The sequence below is a fragment of the Homo sapiens genome, chromosome 5 (assembly GCF_000001405.40).
Source record: "Homo sapiens chromosome 5, GRCh38.p14 Primary Assembly".
NCBI lineage: Eukaryota > Metazoa > Chordata > Mammalia > Primates > Hominidae > Homo > Homo sapiens.
This window is the reverse complement of record NC_000005.10, coordinates 172,038,323-172,057,490: the sequence shown is the minus strand read 5'-3', so window position 1 is coordinate 172,057,490 and position 19,168 is coordinate 172,038,323. Positions and strand designations below refer to the sequence as shown.

The following is a 19,168-nucleotide window of genomic DNA, read 5'->3' as shown; positions in this document are numbered from 1 at the left end:
TGGCATGTCCTCTGCAGACCGGGAAGCAGCCCTGTGGGAGATGGAAGAGCACCAGCTGCAGGAGAGGCACCAGCTGGTGAAGCAGCAGCTCAAAGACCAGTACTTCCTCCAGCGGCACGAGCTGCTGCGCAAGCATGAGAAGGTGAGGCTGCCGGTGGCACGGGGCTCGGATCTGCTGCCGGGCCGACCTGGGAGAGCCATGAGGCTGTATGTGATGGGGCACCTCTTGGGTGCACACTTTGGATGACAAGTGCCCCCAAGAGGAGCCAGGGCTGGCTGCAGTGAGGCCCCAGGAGGTTCTCCAGGGGCGTCCTGCTTCAGCTCAAGGGGCTAGGAATAGGGGAAACGATGCAGGGAAGCCAATGGCCCAAGTGGCTCCCTCACTGACTGTTACTTGCTGTGTATGTCTCTTTCTTTTCTTTTTTTTCCCTTTCTTCTTTTCTTTCTTTCTTTCTTTCTTTCTTTCTTTCTTTCTTTCTTTCTTTCCTTCTTTCTCTTTCTTTCTTTCTTTCTTTCTTTCTTTCTTTCTTTCTTTCCTTCTTTCTTTCTTTCTTTTCTTTCCTTCCTTCCTTCTTTCTTTCTTTCTTTCTCTTCTTTCTTTTCTTTCTTTCTTTCTTTCGAGATGGAGTCGCTCTCTCACTCAGGCTGGAGTGCAGTGGCGCCATCTAGGCTCACTGCAACCTCCACCTCCTGGGTTCAAGTGATTCTCCTGCCTCAGCCTCCCGAGTAGCTGGGATTACAGGTGCTTGCCACCATGCCTGGCTAATTTTTGTATTTTTTTTTTTAGCAGAGTTGGGCTTTCACCCTGTTGGCCAGGCTGGTCTCAAACCCCTGACCTCAAGTGATCTGCCCGCCTTGGCCTCCCAAAGTGCCAGGATTACAGGCGTGAGCCACTGTGCCTGCCCGGTGTGTGTCTTTCTTTTGCTCTTTTTTCTCTTTTCCCTCTTTTTGTCCTCCCTTTCCATTTTGTCTTTATTTCTCTCTTTCTTGTGCATTCCCTCAATACTTTTAGGTCTCCACTTAAACACCACCTCTGCTGGGAAGCCTTCCCTGAACTCCCCAGAGCTGGTGAGGGCCCCTACTCTGTGTGGCCAAAGCACCCTCTCCTGCGGGAATTGTCTGTCTCAGTTCAGCCTCCATAGTGGGACAGTGACAGACAGACCAAGGTCTGGATGCACAGCAGCTGTGTATAATTCCAGTTTCTTATCTAAATGCAGTGATGGAAGTCAGTATAGGGCCATGGGAGTTCAGAATAAGGCTACCCAACCAAGTGAAGAAATCGGGGAAGGCTTCTTGGAGGAGGTGATGCCCATGCTGAGCTTTGAAATACAAATAGGTGTTAGGGGAAGGAAAAAATTCAAATCTATCAGGATTTTTTAAAATATAAGTTCATATCTGCCATCACTAATGGTAAACCATCCCCTTTCGTGTACATTTTGCTTTGAGATATTAGCTAATGATGGCATGCCATCATTGATTAGATGAAAAGGCATTTAGAAGGTAAGAATCCAAGATATTATTAACAAGAATTTTTAAAGTGAGAACAAATAATGTTATTAGTGTAGAAGCAAAATAACACCAGCCTTGATCTGCTGAACATTGTGGGCTGCGTTGGTCCTGGGCCCCTGAGTGGAGTGTGGGGACCTTTAGCCTGTGACCACGCTCTGAGTCCAGAGTGCAGCTGCCCTCAGCCCCTCTGGATATTCCTCTCCAGGAGCGGGAGCAGATGCAGCGCTACAACCAGCGCATGATAGAGCAGCTGAAGGTGCGGCAGCAACAGGAAAAGGCGCGGCTGCCCAAGATCCAGAGGAGTGAGGGCAAGACGCGCATGGCCATGTACAAGAAGAGCCTCCACATCAACGGCGGGGGCAGCGCAGCTGAGCAGCGTGAGAAGATCAAGCAGGTGGGGGCCGGGCCTGCGGGGTCTGCAAGTGTGCTGGGGTGTAGGCAGGGCCAGGTTTGGCGGGACCTGGGCCTTATACAGTTTTGGAGAATATGAAACAAGATGCAGGCTGGCTCACGTCTGTAATCCCAACACTTTGAGAGGCCGAGGCGGGCGGGTCACTTGAGCCCAGGAGTTTGAGACCAGCCTGGGCAACACAGCAAAACCCCATCTCTACAAAAAAATAATTTTTTAAAAATATTAGCCAGGTGTGGTGGCTATTTGGAAGGCCGAGGTGGGAGGATCGCTTGAGCCCGGGAGGCAGAGGTTGCGGTGAGCCAAGATTGAACCACTGCACTCCAGCCTGGGCAACAGAGCGAGACTCCATCTTAAAAAAACAAAAAAGAAAGATGCACTCCGACCCACCCGCCATAAGGTCTTGGGAGGGGGTGTGCGAGTCACCATGCGTGCCCTGGAAGCTTCATCAGCCTCATGGTGAATTCACCTCTGTGTGTGGACAGAGGTAGAGCTTGGTGCTATGTTGCCAATTCTCCTGCACCCTTCCCTTCCGCACTCCCACACTTTTATTTGGCCAGCTTCCCCACATCCTGTGTTGCCCTTGTGGCTCGGGCACACGGGCCCTTGTGATTCCTGCCTGCTACACACACTTTCCTGGCGTGTGTCACATTGCAGTGTCATGTCCCCACCAGCCTGGGGGCTCCTCGAGGGCTGGGGCTGGGTCTCAGCTCAGGGTGAGGACTTAACACGGGCACAGCCTGAGGTGGTGCTGGGTACTGGGGCTGTGCACAGACCAGTCCCCCTGAGGGGTCTCCCTGGGCCAGGGCTGAGTGGGGCTCCCTACCCAACCAGCCAGGCCCTGGTCCCCTGAGGCACCCACCCTCTCTCTGGTGCAGTTCTCCCAGCAGGAGGAGAAGAGGCAGAAGTCGGAGCGGCTGCAGCAACAGCAGAAACACGAGAACCAGATGCGGGACATGCTGGCGCAGTGTGAGAGCAACATGAGCGAGCTGCAGCAGCTGCAGGTACCGCCCTGCCTGCCCCTGCCCCTGCCCCCAGGCTGCCTCAGTTTCCCCAAGGCCATCAGATCTCAGGGGGCCAGAAACTCCACAGCAGGGAAGGATCTTCATCAGACACGCCCGGGATGGATGGTTTCCAGCCCTGCCATGCTGCTCTAGGGCTCTGTGAGGTTGGGCAAATCATATCACCCTCCTAAGCCATAGCTCTCACACCCCTAAAATGGGCATGGGGATGACCATTCCTGCTGTGCAGGATTGGGGCAAGGACTTGTGAATGAAGTGACGGAGCTGGCAGTGGGCTGCTGCAGGGTTTCTGAGTCATCACTGTGTTTTGGGCAAAGGTGGTTGGGGTGTGGCCGAGCCCCTTGTGGGCTGCTTTTGCTGTGGTAATTCCTGACCTCTTCAAGCTTCCTGGCCCCTGGGTTTGCCCCATGCCTGAGGGTCCTGGCCCCAGGAGCTGGTACTTGAAGCCCCCTTGTGGGGACGGGGCTGATTCGAACCTCAGGAACTGCTCAGGCTGTTGGACCCATCGGGCAATTTCTGGAGAGGTGGGGAGGCATGGAGGAAACATTCCAGGTGTTGAGGCCTGCCCGGCACGGCTCTGCTGATTACCACTGTGTGACTTTTGGCCAAGCCATTCACCTTCCGCATCCGTTTTCCTATCCCTGCCTCGGGTGATCCCTGCCTCAGTGTGAGCACTGAGAGAGCCCGTATGAAGTGCCGAGCACAGCTCCTGGCAGGCCACAGGCATGCAGCGCTGCTGCGAGTATTACTTCTCACTCAGCCAAGTTCTAAACTCCCAGAAGCCTCTAGCATGAAACCCAAAATGAAAATCTCCCAAAGGATTCTACTTTTCCAACCCAGTAGGGTCGTGGTATCTGGATAAAGGCACTTCCCCCTGCTTTATAAGCTCCTCATGACAAGACTGATTCCCTGCAAGAAATCAACAGGGACTTGTCACTGCTGCCTATGAGAGAGATTTACATTTTGTAAAGCAGATAACTTACCTCAGAGAAAGAACAGCGAGGTTAGAAGAGTCTCACCCATGTCAGTGACCCTCATTCCTTGCCACAGATCTCCCTGAGGAAATTATATGTGAGACATACAGAGTATCTTAGCTCGGGCTGCCATAACAAACCATGATGCTTTAATTAACAGAAACTTCTTTCTCACAGTTCTGAAGGCTGGAAGTCTGAGATCAGGGTGCCAGCAGGGTGGGGTTCTGGTGAGGGCTCCCTTCCTGGCTTGCGGACAGCTGCCTTCTTGCTGTATCCTCACAGAAAGTTGCAAATTTACTATACCTCCCCACCACAGAGTTAATAAGAACTATTAACATATTCTGGACTATTCCTCCAGGCACTTCTTGGTGCATGTGATTTACGTATAGAGTTTGAATAAATGGGATTTATAGTCAAGAAGAAATAATAAATGAACGATGCTGGTGCCCTCGTAGCCACAGCGTGAGGTGTGTCTCAGTCTTCAGGGCCTGCGTCTTCTGATTTCTCACCTGTTCTGCCTGGAATCTGTTCCAGAATGAAAAGTGCCACCTCCTGGTAGAGCACGAAACCCAGAAACTGAAGGCCCTGGATGAGAGCCATAACCAGAACCTGAAGGAATGGCGGGACAAGCTTCGGCCGCGCAAGAAGGTAACTTTATCCGAGCTGGTGGGCTCAGTCTCGGGCTCTGCTCTGTGCCATGCACAGGCCTCTGGCCAGGACATGTTAGGTCTCCTTATTTTGGTGGACTCTTGCTTTGTGGCACCATCAAATGGATCTCCAGCCTGAGAGAGAGGGGAACTTTCTAACCCTTTGTGGCTGAACGCCCTGCAGCTTCCACCTCTGGAAGGGCAGCCTCTTGTTTAGCTCCCTCTCATGGACCGAAGGACTCCTGCCATGTGTCCACAGAGGACGCTGCAGTGAGTCAAACCAGCCACGCTGCTGGGCCAGAAGCCCAGCCTGTGGGGATTTTCTCTTAGAGGAAGTTATTCTGAGGAGTCAGAACGCAGCACAAGATAAACTGCTTGCCAATTTAGTTTTCTGTTGCTGTGTGATGAACTGCCACACACTTAGCAGCTTAAACCAACGCCCGTTTACTCTCTCCTAGTGATGGAGTTCAAGAGTCTGGGTGGGCTCTCTGGGTTCTCTGCTCAGGGTCTCACCAGGCTGCAATCAACGTTGTCAGCGTGGCTGGGCTCTTAGCTGAAGTTTCTGGGGAAGAATCACTTCCAAACCCATTCAGCTTTCGACAGAATCCAGTTCCTTATGGCTGTAGGTCTGAGGTCCCTGTTTCCTTGCTGACCTCAGACGGGTTATTTTCTAGAAGCCACCGGCACTCCTTATCACGTGGCCTCCTCCACCTCAAATAGCCAGCATGCATTCAGACCTCCTCGTGCTTTGAATGTCTCTGATATCCCTTTCTGCCACCAGCTAGAGAAAACCCTTTTGTGCTCATGTGATTAAATCAGGGTCACGGGATAGCCTCCCTGCTTGCAGGAATGATACCACATTCAGAGGTTCCACCCACACGCAGAGGAGCGGGGAGAGTTATATGAGAGAGAGTCACAGGGGTCATTTTTGAATGGTGCCTGCCATACTTTCACCTTCAAACCCCATGCCCTCGCTCAGTCCCACATCTTTCTTTACTGCCCTGTCTCTCTCTTTCTCTGCGAAGCCCTGTCACAATTTCTTCCTCCACCCACTGAGAAATTCCTTTCTCAGCCCACTGCAGCCGCTGCTGGCATGGTCAATACCAACATCCTGGTGGCTGACTCGCATGGATACGGCTGGCTGGACTTGACCTCCTGGTGGCAGCCAGTGCTGCCAGTCACTCTCTTCCTCGCCTGCCTTGTCCTCCTAGGCCCACCTTCTGCTGGGTTTCTTCTCTGTCACTAGCCCCTTTGCAACGTCCCTCGTGACCCATCTGTTGATTTCTTTATTTTATTTTTTATTTTAGAGACAGTTTCACTCTTTCGCCCAAGGCTGGAGTGCGGTGGTGCCATCTCAGCTCACTGCAACCTCTGCCTCCTGGGTTCAAATGATTTTCCTGCCTCAACCTCCTGAATAGCTGGGATTACAGGCACATGCCACTATGCCTGGCTAGTTTTTCTATTTTTAGTAGAGACGGGGTTTCACCATGTTGTCCAGGCTGGTCTTGAACTCCTGACCTCAAGTGATCCGCCCCCCTCGGCCTCCCAAAGTGCTGGGATTACAGGCGTGGGAACGTGGCTCTCTGCAACCTCTGCCTCCTGGGTTCAAGTGATTCTCCTGCCTTAGCTTCCCGACTAGCTGGGACTACAGGTGTGCACCACTGTGCCTGGTGGAGATATAATTTTTTTTAAATATTGTATAATGAAATGTGTCAACTTTTGGAAGATCTGCATAACTCAGTAAACCAATATTTTCTAAGTGACCAATGCATGATGTTACAGGATCATGGCTGGAGCAAAGTTACATCCAAGTGCGAGAAAGACCAGCGGATTTTTTTTTTTTTCCTGAGACGGAGTGGCGCTATCTCGGTTCACTGCAACCTCCACCTCCCAGGTTCAAGCGATTCTCCTGCCTCAACCTTCCTGAGCAGCTGGGATTACAGGCACCCGCCACCACTCCTAAAGTGCTGGGATTATAGGTGTGAACCCAGGAGTTCGAGACCAGCCTGGGCAACACAGTGAAACCTCATCTCTACAAAAAATACAAAAATTAGCCGGGCACAGTGGCACATGCCTGTAGTCCCAGATACTCTGGAGCCTGAGATGGGAGGATCGCTTGAGGCCAGGAAGTCAAGGCTGCAGTGAGCCATGATTGCACTACTGCACTCCCGCCTGGGTGACAGATTGAGACCCTCGCAAAAAGAAAAAAAAAAAAAATTGAGAAGCTGTCAAGTTCAGGCTGGTGGACACAGGTTTTCCAAAGTTCTCATTTTTGCTTGAATGCTCAAATTTTGTCATTGGCAGTAAATATCCTTAGTTTGTTTCCCTTGACGTGATCAGCTCAGTTTGTTCATTTTCAAGAGAGTGTTTGCTAAATACCCATATTTGTCAGTAATTTTTTTTTGAAATGGGGTCTTGCTATGTTGCCCAGGCTCATTTCGACTACCTGGGCTCAAGCAGTTCTCCTGTCTCAGCCTCCCAAGTAGCTGGAACTATAACACATGCCACCATGCCCAGTTGTGAGTTGTTTTTTAATCAAAATGATATTCTGCAGAATCAAGTGGCGAGTTCAGCCCACAACTCAAGATGATTGCACAAGAACAATACCAGGCACAAGAACAGGATCTCTAGACAGCCATCATGCTTTGACCGGCAGCAGGCGGGCCTTATGCATAGTTCTCATTTCCTCACACAGGACGTTAAAGGGCTGTGACCTTGAAGGTCAGGATTTAATAAAATGAACCATTTGTGTTGCACCATCAAGGTGATCTTAAGTGCAATTGGCTTTATTGTTTTAATTGAAAAACTTTCTAAAATACTATGAGTGGGCCTGGCATGGTGGCTCACACCTGTAATCCCAGCACTTTGGGAGGCCAAGGCGGGTGGATCACCTGAGGTTAAGAGTTCGAGACCAGCCTGGCCAACATGGCGAAACCCAGTCTCTACTAAAAATACAAAAATTAGCCAGACATGGTGGTGCATGCCTGTAATCCCAGATACTTGGGCGGCTGAGGCAGGAGAATCACTTGAACCCGGCGGGCAGAGTTTGCAGTGAGCCAAGATCTCACCACTTCACTCCAGCCTGGGCGAAAGAGTGAAACTCCATCTCAAAAAATAAAAATAAAAATAAACACATGTGAGTGCACGGTGGTGAAGAATACCCATTCAGTTAGGAGGGGCCATTGTCTTAATCCTCCAGAAGCTCCAGAAGTTTTACCCATCATTGCTTTTGTACCATTAGCACCAATATCAAAACAATGAAAAAGCAAACTGTGTCTTAGCAGGAAACTAGAGCTTGCTGCCCCTCCCCCACCCCCAGAAAGCGTTTTGGGCCCCCTAGGGGTTCGTGGACCACACTTCGAGAACTACTGTTCTTGCCTTATCTCCCGTGAGTCTCATCCCCGACTTGTGCTCTGAGCAGATTTCAGTACCCAAATAGATCTCCATGCCATATGCGCTTCCCTCGTTCCCTGCTGGGCTTTTGCCCAGCCTGTTCCCCTTGCCAGGAATTCTCTACCCACCAGCCTTTGCTTGGCCAACTTCTGTTTGTCTGCATTATTCAGGCCTCCCCCACGGAGGCTGTATGGTGTCTTCTGGGCTCCCCGTCCTTGCCCCTGTCATGGTGTTTATCACATGGGATTGCATTTGTGTGTCATCGTTAGCTTGATGGTTCATTCGTTTGTGTATTAATGCAACACATATTTCTTGAACACCTGCTAAGTGCCCCACGCTGTTTCAGACTCTAGAGACACTGCATTGAACAAAAGGGACAAGTCCATGCCCTCCGGAAGAACCGACCTTCTAGTAAGGGGCCAAGAAGCAGGGAGGGAAACAGCATGGGGGGGTCACAAAGTGAGGCTGCTTCAGACGGTGTGGCAGGAAGATGTCGTCTAAGAAGATGACATCTGAGCCAAGATCTGAAGGACCTGAGGGAGGGAGGCGTGCAGCCGTGGGGGTTTTCAGGGGGACATTCCCAGCACAGGGAAGAGCAACTGCAAAGGCCCGGACACCTTGCTCGTGAAACAAGGAGACCCCTGCGGCCGGAGAGAGTGGTGGTGACGGTGGGAGGTGATAGGAGGTAAAGTCAGAGGGGTGGGGGGCCTGCGTAAAGTCTGGCTTTTACTCTGTGTGAGATGGAAGCCACTGGAGGGTTCTGAGCAGAGGACAAGGTGGTCTGACTCATGTTTTGAAAAGGATCCCGCTGGCTGCCCTCAGGGGTCAAGAGTGGAGGCAGAGAGACCAGTCAGGAAACCATTGTGATAGCCTTGGTGACTAATGATGGCAGCTTGGACTAGGGTGGTATCTTGAACTAGGATGGTATCAGAGGTTGGGGGAATTTGTCCATTTCCTCTCTAGCTGGCACTCTAGACGTTCTTGCTGGTCACCAGCTTTGGGATCTTGGGCAAGCCATCTTCCCCGCTCTGGGCCGTATTAGTCTGGATTCTCTAGAGAAACAGAACCAAGATAGAGAGAGGATGTGTGTGTGTGTGTGTGTGTGTGTGTGTGTGTGTGTGTAGGGAGAGGGAGAGGGAAATTGATTTAGTTATTTTAAGGAATTGGCTTACACGATTGTGGGGGCTGGTAAGTCTGAAATCTGCAGGACAGGTCAGCAGGCTGGAGACCCAGTTGTTGTTGCTGTCTAGAGGCAGAATTCCTTCTCTCTTGTTTTCTCTGAAGGCCTTCAACTGATTGAGGCCCACCCACATGATGAAGGGTAATTTGCATTACTCAGAGTTTACTGATTGAAATGCTAATCACATCTAGAAAATACCTTCATAGTGACATCTAGCTGGTGTTTGACCAAACAGGTGGATACCGTGGCCTTGCCAAGCTGACACATAAAATTAACCATCACAGAAATCAGTCGGGCACAGTGGCGCATGCCTGTAATCCCAGCTACATGGGGGGCTGAGGCAGGAGAATGGCTTGAACCCGGGAGGCGGAGGTTGCAGTGAGCCAAGATCGCATCACTGCACCCCAGCCTGGGTGACAGAGCAAGACTCCGTCTCAAAAAAAAAAAAAAAAAAAAACCCAAAAAACATGGGACCTCAGTGTGGTTATTTGTACAGTGAAGCTATCAATACTGCAAGGTTATGTCAGAAGTTGCCAGCACATAGTACAGGCCAAGGACATACTCATTCCCCTAAACTCTCTGAGGAGAGAACTGCCCAAGTTACTCTTAATCTCATGCCCACGGGTCCTGAAGTCCTGAGGTTTGTTCTGCCATCGTACATCAGTTCTGCTTACTGTAACTGTGGTCTGGACAGGAGGCAACTGCCCATCTCAGCTGTGTGATGGCCTTGGGAGTCCTTGAATTGAGGCCTCCCTCCCTGCGCTCATGGAGCTTTCTGGCTGGAAGCTGGCCAAGATCCCAGACTTCCTGTTAGGCCCACGCTCATCAGTTTCTGTAACCATGGTCTGCTGGGACTTTCCATACTTGACAGTCAAGTCAATAATGTTCCTGCTGACATAGGTTGGTTCTGCAATCAGGAAATGAACGTCCACCTGGTTCTCTTACCTGGGGGTTCTATACCCTTGGCCTATCCTGAGAGAGTTTGAAAATGAATGATCGCGTTTCCTCTAGCTATTGCCTTATGTCTCAGATCGCTTCAAAGAGGGGCCTGGGCTCAGGGGAGGCACCACGAGTGTGCAGTTGGGAAGCCAGCATTGGACTTTGCCTGTGGGGGCTGCCTCTTTGCAGAATTCTTTATAGAATTCTTCTGTCATTAGCTGCTTGGGTTTCTGCTGGAACAATGACCCGGAGGTGATGATTTTCATTCGAGAATAAATGGTCTTTTACATTCTTGCATTACGGTCAGCAGCCTGTGAACCCCCTGCCTTGTATGGAGGCAGGGAGATGATTGTACATTGTGGAGTATTTTTAGAAAAATTCAGATGTATTTCGAGTAAGTACGGAATATCTGGTAGAGTCAATGAAGTGTTGCTTGGGTCAGTGTTCACACAGAATGTGGCCTCAAACAAGTCAAATCTTCCCTCCTGAACCCTGGCTTTTCGGGCTGTAAAATGTAGATAATATTTATTTCCTTAAAGTAGGTGTTAGCAAACCACTGCCAATGTCCTAATCTGGCCCACCACCTATATTTGTAAATAAAGTTTTATTGGAACACAGCCATGCTCGTTCATTTACAGATTGTCTGTGGCTGATTTTGTACTACAGTGGCAGTTGAGTAGTCACAATAGAGACCAAATATGTCCTGCAAAGCCAAAAATGTTTACTATCTGTCACATAACAGAAAAAAGATCGCTGACTCTGGCGTAAGAAGGTTGTATTGAGAAATATATGTGGTGGGTAGAACAGAATAATGCTTAAACAGCCCAGGCTTTGGAGTCACACAGGTGGGATGAAGTCCTAACTCCTCCATTACTAGTTGTGAAACCTTGGGCAAGTTACTAAACCATTCTGTGCTCAAAAAGTAGTAGCTATTATTATTAAATTGTTGGTATTCCTAGAGCAGAGGTCCCAAACTGATAGCCTATGTGCTGGAATTGGCTTACAGGCATGGTATGTTTGGCCAACATAGTGATGTAAAAAAAATTTTTTTTTTTTTTTTTGAGACAGAGTCTTGCTCTGTCACCCAGGCTAGAGTGCAGTGGCACGATCTCGGCTCACTGCAACTTCCACCTCGCCTCAAGTGATTCTCCTGCCTCAGCCTCCCAAGTAGCTGGGATTACAGGCACACACTACCAGACCTGGCTAATTTTTGTGTTTTTAGTAGAGATGGGGTTTCGCCTTGTTGGCCAGGCTGGTCTTGAACTCCTGACCTCAGGTGATCCGCCCGCCTTGGCCTCCCAAAGTGCTGGGATTACAAGGCTGAGACACCGCACCTGGCCTGTAAATTGTTTAAAAGATGTCCACTTTTAAGTATATAAGGAGATTTTACATTAAAATCTTGATTTCCAGTTTCTTTAGAAAATCCTAGGCCAGGCGCGGTGGCTCACGCCTGTAATCCAAGCACTTTGGGAGGCCAAGGTGGGTGGATCACATGAAGTCAGGAGTTTGAGACCAGTCTGGCCAACACGATGAAACCCCTTCTCTATTAAAAATACAAAAATTAGCCAGTCATGGTGGCAGGTGCCTGTAATCCCAGCTACTGGGGAGGCTGAGTCAGGAGAATCACTTGAACCTGTGAGGCTGAATTTGCAGTGAGCCAAGATAGTGCCACTGCACTCCAGCCTGGGCGACAGAGCAAAACTCTGTCTCAAAAAAAAGAAAAATATTTCTGGTAGGATCCAATTTACCTAGATAAACTTGCTTGTGCCCAAGGGAACCTCCCGCAGTGCTTTTCAACTAGAGCTCTCCTCTGAGTTACCTGAAGAGTTTGTACAGTACAGAAGGCCTTGGTCCCACCACAGATCTTCAAAATCCGAACCTCTGGGTTTAGGCAAAGGCACGTGTATTTTGTTTTTGTTTTTGTTTTTGTTTTTGAGATGGAGTCTCGCACCGTCGCCCAAGTTGGAGTGCAGTGGCGCAATCTCAACTCAGGCATGTGTATTTTGAAAAAAAAAACTTCTGACATCTCTGCTTCCTTTGCTGCTCAGTCTCTCTCCATCTTCTCCCTCGGGTTTTTCTCCAGTCATTTGGCTGTTTTCCTGCCAGGGGATTTGCATCTGCTTTTTTTTCCTCCCTGCCCCGTCTAGATTGACATTTCCCCCAACTGTACCCTTCAGTCCACAGGGAGCTTCTGAGTGGCGGTGGCAGGAGGTGGTACTTACCTCCTGTGGGAGGAGCTCTAGGGTAGGAAATAGGGAAGCCGTAGTTTCTCAAGCACTGAGGCCTGGAAGGGAATGTTCCAGAGAAGGCCATGTCAGTGGGGGTCCTGTGAGTGGGAGACCCACGTGTGGCCTGCAGATCTCACCAAGTGCCATCCATCCTCTCTCTTCCCTAGGCTCTGGAAGAGGATCTGAACCAGAAGAAGCGGGAGCAGGAGATGTTCTTCAAGCTGAGCGAGGAGGCGGAGTGCCCAAACCCCTCCACCCCAAGCAAGGCCGCCAAGTTCTTCCCCTACAGTTCTGCGGATGCTTCTTAACAACCGCCCGGGGCTGTGGCTGGCAGCTTGGTGGGCCCCAGGGCCTTCTCCTTCATTCTCTGTGAACATGTAACTCAGGACCCCTTTTCCCTCTTGCGTCTGTGCCAGCTCAAATCCAGCCCCTCGCCCTGTGCCACCCCAACTGTGCCTGATAGACCTGCCCCAGCGTTCCTGACTTCTTGCTGGCCTGTGGAGGGTGAGGTGTAATTATTTGTCACCTGAACCTAATGTATATTCTCCTTGAGCCCCAGATCCCTTCAAGCTGGAAGGGATGGGGCTGTTGGTGGGGTCAGGGTCCAAGAGGAATGGGTGTTCTGTGGCCTCGAGTCCTCTCCTGTTTGCGAAAATACCAGTTTTGCTCTCTGTGGGACAAAGCACTGCTGATGAAGTCCCCGTGGGCTCATCCGGGCTGGAATTCTTGGTTTTTCAGCCATTCCCTGCAGAGTCACTCAATCATCAAGTCCCTCACAGCCATTTCTGTTCCCAGAGGAGCCAGGCCTGCAGCTGGCTGCTCAGGAGATGGCCTCATTCCTCCTGTTCTCCCAGTTTGCTTTCCACTTAAGACAAAGCCTTGTCTATGTGGGGGGCGGGGACCGGGGAAAGAGGGAGGCTGAAATGTTTATTCTGCTTCTCCCGTGTTTCATGCCATCTCGCGTCCCCCTTCCTGCACATGGGTGTGAATGCACACACATACGCGTACACACAGGACTTGGTCTGCTGGCCTGGCCTCTTCTGCCCAGGTGGGTTGGAACACGTTTGCTGCCTGAGCCTGTGCCACTGAGCATGTTAGGTGGAGCAGTTGGTGTGGCACGTGCGGGGTGTTGGCACCGGAGGCATGGAAAAGCACAGGCTGTACTGCCAGGCTGCGATGCGTGCTGGCCCCCGCACAGGCTCCTGTGTGCAGGGACTGATTCCTCAGCACACGAGGCTTCCACAACCCAGTCTGCTCCATAGCACTCTGGCCCACCCTGTCTGCAGGTGAAACAGGAGGGCTGTTTGCCTCTGCCCCATCCCCCCGACTGTGTTCAGGAGTCCCACCTTGCATTTCAGACCTGGGCTGGCAGTCTGTTGGACTTCTCTTCAGGAAGAAAAAGCATCAGGGGGAAATGGAATGCCCCTGCCCCAGGAACATGGCAGAAGCACAGGTTCTGTACCTCAGATGGACTCCTGCTGGGCCTTCGGGGTCTCAGTTGGCTTCCCCCAGATTCTGATTCTACAGCTGCAGAATGTATATAACGCAATAAAAGCAAATGTTTGAACCAGTATGCGGGTTTACTTACAAGGAAACCTTTTTTCACCCTGATTTCTAATTATTTTATTGAAACAACTATAAAATGTATGGTTTCTCCAGGAAGATATCTGCTTTTTAAAACAACAAACAAGAACAACAACACAAAACTGGTAATGATTTGGAGTAATCATGCGGGCATATTGAGTCTGGGTAGTGTTTCGCTGGTGGTAGAGTGGTTGAGACTTCCTGGGAGGACTTTTTCCGCCTTCACTCCTACAGATTTAAGATTCTTTATTTTTAGGCCGGGCATGGTGACTCACCTGAGGTGAGGAGTTCGAGACTAGCCTGGCCAACATGGCAAAACCCTGTCTCTACTAAAAGTACAAAAATTAGCCAGGCGTGGTGGTGCATGCCTATAATCCCAGCTACTCGGGAGGCTGAGGCAGGAGAATCGCTTGAACCCAGGAGGCAGAGGTTGCAGTAAGCCAAGGTCACACCACTGCACTCCAGCCTAGGTGACAGGGCGAGACTCTGTCTCTCAAAAAAAAAAAAAAAAAAAATTCTTTGAGACAGGGTCTCTAATATGTTGCCCAAGCTGATCTCAAACTCGTGGCTCAACTGATTCTCCCGCTTCAACCTTGAGTAGCTGGGACGACAGATACATGCTACTGCACCCAGCTAGGTTAAGGTTCTGTATACTCTGTCTTTCTAAAGCAATTCCCTGGAAATTTTCTCAACATTGGTTATAACTGAATGCTTGGGAAGGGAGGGGCAGCCCTTCAACAGGAAAAGGGGACTGCCCAAATCTTAAATGCACAGTCAAGATTCTCTTGGAGCTAGCAATGGTTCTCAGGTTAGTGAGCATTTAGCTTGCCTGCTGCAGAATTTGACCCAGATGGGGGTGTTTTTTAGGTCTCTCACAAATGAGACAAGCGAAACAATTGTCTCCTTTTATTCTCTTTGGTGCATTGGTGCTGGGGAAACATGAACTAGCGGCAGTGTAACTGCAGAACATAGACCCAGTTCTACCAGGCCAGGCCAGCGTTGGGAACCACCAGACAGGGCTGCTTTGGGCTTTGCTTACAGTATTTCCATGTGTAGCCTGGCGTGTGAGAAAGTATTAGGTGAAATGCCAGTTTCATGGTTCAGGTGAAAGTCTGTGATCATTCCCCTCGTGGCTCGTCCTTCACATCACTTTTGCCCTTCAAGGAGTTGCCGCGTCCCCGCTCAGTGCCGCCTGAGCCCTCAGAGCTCCCCTGTGCTTTTCTGGATGGGGACTGGCGGGGTCACCTAGCCTCACCGTGGAGCCACCGTGCAATGCCCATCTCTGAGAGGCCCACGCGGTATTCCTCGTGCCCTGTGTTAGTGCTTTCTGTATAAGGGACAGACAGAACTGGGTTTTTTTCCTCTGTCTGGTTTTAGAGTAAATGTAACTAACTTTTATTTTCCCTTTATGAAAGATAGAAATTATTTTTATGTAGTTTCCAGACTTTATACAAAATTTTTGTAAAATGTTCTCTGGAAAGTTAACTACAAGAATGTAAATATGCTTCTAATAAAATAACAAGGTTATTTGCCGTTCAGGTTGTTCTTTTGGATTGGGGTGGAAAGCAGGGCACACTTAACCATACTCACCCGGCAAGAAAGGGCTTATCTTCCAAGTACGCAGGTGCCTCCCAGGTCATACGGCAGCTCAGACTTCGGGTTTCTCTTTGGAAAGACATTATGCTTGGCTGAGAGAGAGCATGTCATGGGGCATGTTCTCTACAGACATTTAATATCATTCTCATTTAACAACAAACATTCATTGACCCCAAAAAGTTTTCACCTGTTAATGTACTGAATCCTTTCAACAATCGGAGGAAGACACCATCATTCCCATTTTATGTATTTATTATTTTTTTAGAGACAGGGTCTCCCTATCACCCAGGCTGGAGTGCAGTGGCATGATCATGGTTCACCGTAACCTCAAACTCTTGGGCTCAGATGATCCTCCCACTTTATCCTCCTGAGTAGCTAGGATTATAGGCATGAGCCACGGTGCCTGGCTTTTTTTTGTGGAGACAGGCGACAGGGCAGGGGGGATCACTATGTTGCCCAGGCTGGTCTCAAACTCCCGGCTTCAAGCAATCCTCCTGTCTCAGCCTCCCAAACAGCTGGAATTACAGGTGTGAGCCACCCCCCACCACACCAGGCTCATTCTCATTTTCTAGATGAGGAAATGGGCACTAGGCAAAGGGAAGGGTCAAGCCAGTTCTCAAAACACTGTAAGTGACGCCTATAAGGTTCAAACCTGGACCTTCTGCCAGAGGTGTTTCTGGCATACCTCCCGTGTCTCACTCAACTGCCACTTGAACTAATCAAGGGTCGTACAGATGCCTAGCCACTAGCCATCCCTGCCGTATTTAAAAGAATCTGTCTGCCATGCCTCTGAAACACGATTCAGGCTTTCTTAACTTTGGGTCCATAGACTCTTCCCACAATGGATCCATATGTAGAATTCAGGGTGTCTTGGTATCTGGATGGCAAAAGATTTGGTCTTTAGTTTTACTACAAACTGTAGTAGTATTAGCAGTAGCTGTGACTGTCACCAGTAGAAATCCCAGATATTTCATATCACATTGCAGCTGTGGTAGAGATCTCAAAATATTTTTATCACTTTGAAATTACAGTAGCTATTAGACCTATTACTAGATCTTGTTATTTAACGTGCATATGTGTATATACATCCATATATCACATTACATGGGCATATATATCACATACAAAATATATACAGGTTTTCCAGTATTTTGTTACCTGTATTCCATATGATTGGTTTCATTTGTAATCTATGTGCTTTATATTACACACTTGAAAATATTATTCTGAGAAGCCACCAGGCGCAGTGGCTCAAGCCTGTAATCCTAGCACTTTGGGAGGCCGAGTCGGGTGGATCACTTGAGGTCAGGAGTTTGAGACCAGCCTGACCAACATGGTGAAACCCCGTCTCTACTAAAAATACAAAAATTAGCCAGGCGTGGTGGCACACCTGTATTCCCAGCTACTCGGGAGGCTGAGGCATAAGAATGGCTGGAACCAGGAGGCAGAGGTTGCAGTGAGCCGAGATCGTGCCACTGCACTGAAGCCTGGGCGACAGAGCGAGACTGTCTCAAAAAATATGCATTATTCTGAGAAGGGATTCATATTCTTTGTGGAATGCCAAAGGAGTCCACGGCGCAAAAAATGATTTAGAACCCCTGTTTCTTCAGCCTTGAGTTGTCTCTGTCCCAGAAACCTTCTGACCAGCAGGGGGCAGGCCGCAGCCACAAGGTCAGTGCGGAGTTCACATTGATTACTGTCTGGGGGATACAAACAAATAAGCAGCCGGCCTGCCTGCCATTAAGGGCTAGAAAAATGATTGAGGTTCTAGTGAAAAATAATTCATGAAACTGACAAAACAACAGTGCATTAGAGGATTCTTAGGACTCGGGAAATGAGATCATTCCTCATTCGACACCTCTTAAGCACCATGTGCTGGAGATGCCGAGATGAGTAAGACACTGACACTGTCTCCTTGTCCTTGTAGGGAAACAGACCTGGAAAAGCAGAGTGTAAGTTCAGACTGACGTTGCCTGGGAGAATCAGGGAAGACTTCCCAGAGAAGGTGATGCTGAGTCTTGGAAGACAAACTAGTATGTGCCAGAACGTGTGCATTCAGAGACTGCGATATCGTTTAGGGTAAATGCTTTATGGGTCATGAGGCTGAAGAGATGGACAGGTCCAGACTAACATGCCAGGCTAAAACACTTATCTATCCCAAGGGCAGTCAGAAGAAGGGGAGTTTACTCAGGGGAAGGACAGTTGAAATCATGGCCTTAGCAATTCAAGAGACCAGCTGAAAAAGACTGAGATGAGGTTAAAAGAGTTTTTTGGCCACAGAGGTTTGAGGCTTTCAGAAGGAAAGGGAAGACTGCAGGCTCCATGAGGGGAGGAAGTAAGACTTTTTTTTTTTTTAATGGAATCAAGCTCTGTCGCCCAGGCTGGAGTGCAGTGGCGTGATCTTGGCTCACTACAACCTCCACCCCCCGGGTTCAAGCGATTCTCCTGTCTCAGCCTCCTGAGTAGCTGGAATTACAGGCATGCACCACCACCACGCCAGACTAATTTTTATATTTTTAGTAGAGACGGGGTTTCACCATGTTAGTCAGGCTGGTCTCGAACTCCTGACCTCATGATCCGCCTGCCTTGGCCTCCCAAAGTGCTGGGATTATAGGCGTGAGCTACTGTACCCGGCCGGAAGTAGGACTTTTTAGCTGACGCCTTGCTATGGTGTAAATGTCCCCTCCAAAACTCATTGAAATTTAATTGCCACTATAAGGATATTGAGAGGTGGAATCTTTAAGAGGTGATTAGGTCATGAGGGCTCTGCCCTCATGAATGGACTAATACCATTATTGCAGAAGTGAGTTAGTTATCATGGGAATGGATTCCTGATAAAAAGGATGAGTTGGCCCGACATGGTGTCTCACGTCTGTAATCCCAGCATTTTGGGAGGCTGAGGTGGGTGGATCGCCTGAAGTCAGGAGTTCAAGACCAGCCTGGCCAACATGGTGAAAACTCCATCTCTACTAAAAATACAAAAATTAGCCAGATGTGGTGGCGGACACCTGTAATCCCAGTTACTCAGGAGGCTAAGGCAGGAGAATCGCTTGAACCCAGGAGGCGAAGGTTGCAGTGAGCCAAGATTGCACCACTGCACTCCTGCCTGGGTGACAGAGCAAGATTCCGTTCCCCCCTCCCCACCCCAAAAAAAGGATGAGTTTGCCCAATTCCCTCTCTCTGTCTCATGTGCTCACTTCTGTCTTCTATTTTGTGCCATGGGATTACCCTTGCCAGACACTGGCATTATGCTCTTGGACATCCCAGCCTCCAGAACAGTGAGTCAAATAAACTTCTGTTCTTTATCAATTTACCTAGTCTATGGTATTCTGTTATAGCAGCAGAAAACTGACTAAGAGAGAAAATTGGTACTGAGTAGTGGTCTGTTGCTATAACAAACACCTGTGAAAAATGTAGAGGCCACTCTGGAACTGGGTAATGGGTAGAGGCTGGAAAAATGGGAAGAAGCAGGCTAGAAAAAGCCTACACTGCCGTGAATGGAGCATTAAGGGTGATTGTGGTGAGGGCTCAGGAGAGAAGAGCCGTGGGGAAAGTCTGAATCTTCTAAGACATTACTTAAATGCTCATGACCCGGATGTTGATAGAAATATGGACAGTAAATGCCATTCTGTGTGAGGTCTCAAATGGAAATGAGGAACAAGGTATTAGAGACTGGAGTAAAGGCCA

The 19,168-nt window shown here is 49.3% G+C and overlaps 1 protein-coding gene across 4 annotated transcripts in view, besides 3 other annotated features; it reads left to right on the top strand.

Annotated features, from left to right (window-relative positions):
- STK10 (serine/threonine kinase 10) overlaps positions 1–15,412 on the top strand; it is a 146,146-nt gene extending 130,734 nt beyond the window's left edge. For all 4 annotated transcript variants that reach the window (XM_047417629.1, XM_047417628.1, NM_005990.4 and 1 more), the window contains 5 exons: positions 18–142; positions 1,715–1,903; positions 2,797–2,922; positions 4,449–4,562; positions 12,469–15,412. In XM_047417629.1, coding sequence (XP_047273585.1) covers positions 18–142; positions 1,715–1,903; positions 2,797–2,922; positions 4,449–4,562; positions 12,469–12,609 — 695 coding nt within the window. In that variant the 3' untranslated portion in view covers positions 12,610–15,412. The remainder of the gene's footprint in view (positions 1–17; positions 143–1,714; positions 1,904–2,796; positions 2,923–4,448; positions 4,563–12,468) is intronic.
- Positions 1,313–1,812: an enhancer, noted in NCBI's record as "H3K4me1 hESC enhancer chr5:171482683-171483182 (GRCh37/hg19 assembly coordinates)". NCBI's record gives its function as "activates a minimal SCP1, AML or CMV promoter by ChIP-STARR-seq in naive and primed H9 embryonic stem cells {active_cell/tissue: H9 hESC(naive and primed)}" and the evidence as "EXISTENCE:reporter gene assay evidence [ECO:0000049][PMID:30033119]".
- Positions 1,813–2,314: an enhancer, noted in NCBI's record as "H3K4me1 hESC enhancer chr5:171482181-171482682 (GRCh37/hg19 assembly coordinates)". NCBI's record gives its function as "activates a minimal SCP1, AML or CMV promoter by ChIP-STARR-seq in naive H9 embryonic stem cells {active_cell/tissue: H9 hESC(naive)}" and the evidence as "EXISTENCE:reporter gene assay evidence [ECO:0000049][PMID:30033119]".
- Positions 2,336–3,163: an enhancer, noted in NCBI's record as "H3K27ac-H3K4me1 hESC enhancer chr5:171481332-171482159 (GRCh37/hg19 assembly coordinates)". NCBI's record gives its function as "activates a minimal SCP1, AML or CMV promoter by ChIP-STARR-seq in naive H9 embryonic stem cells {active_cell/tissue: H9 hESC(naive)}" and the evidence as "EXISTENCE:reporter gene assay evidence [ECO:0000049][PMID:30033119]".
- Positions 15,413–19,168: the final 3,756 nt, after the last annotated feature.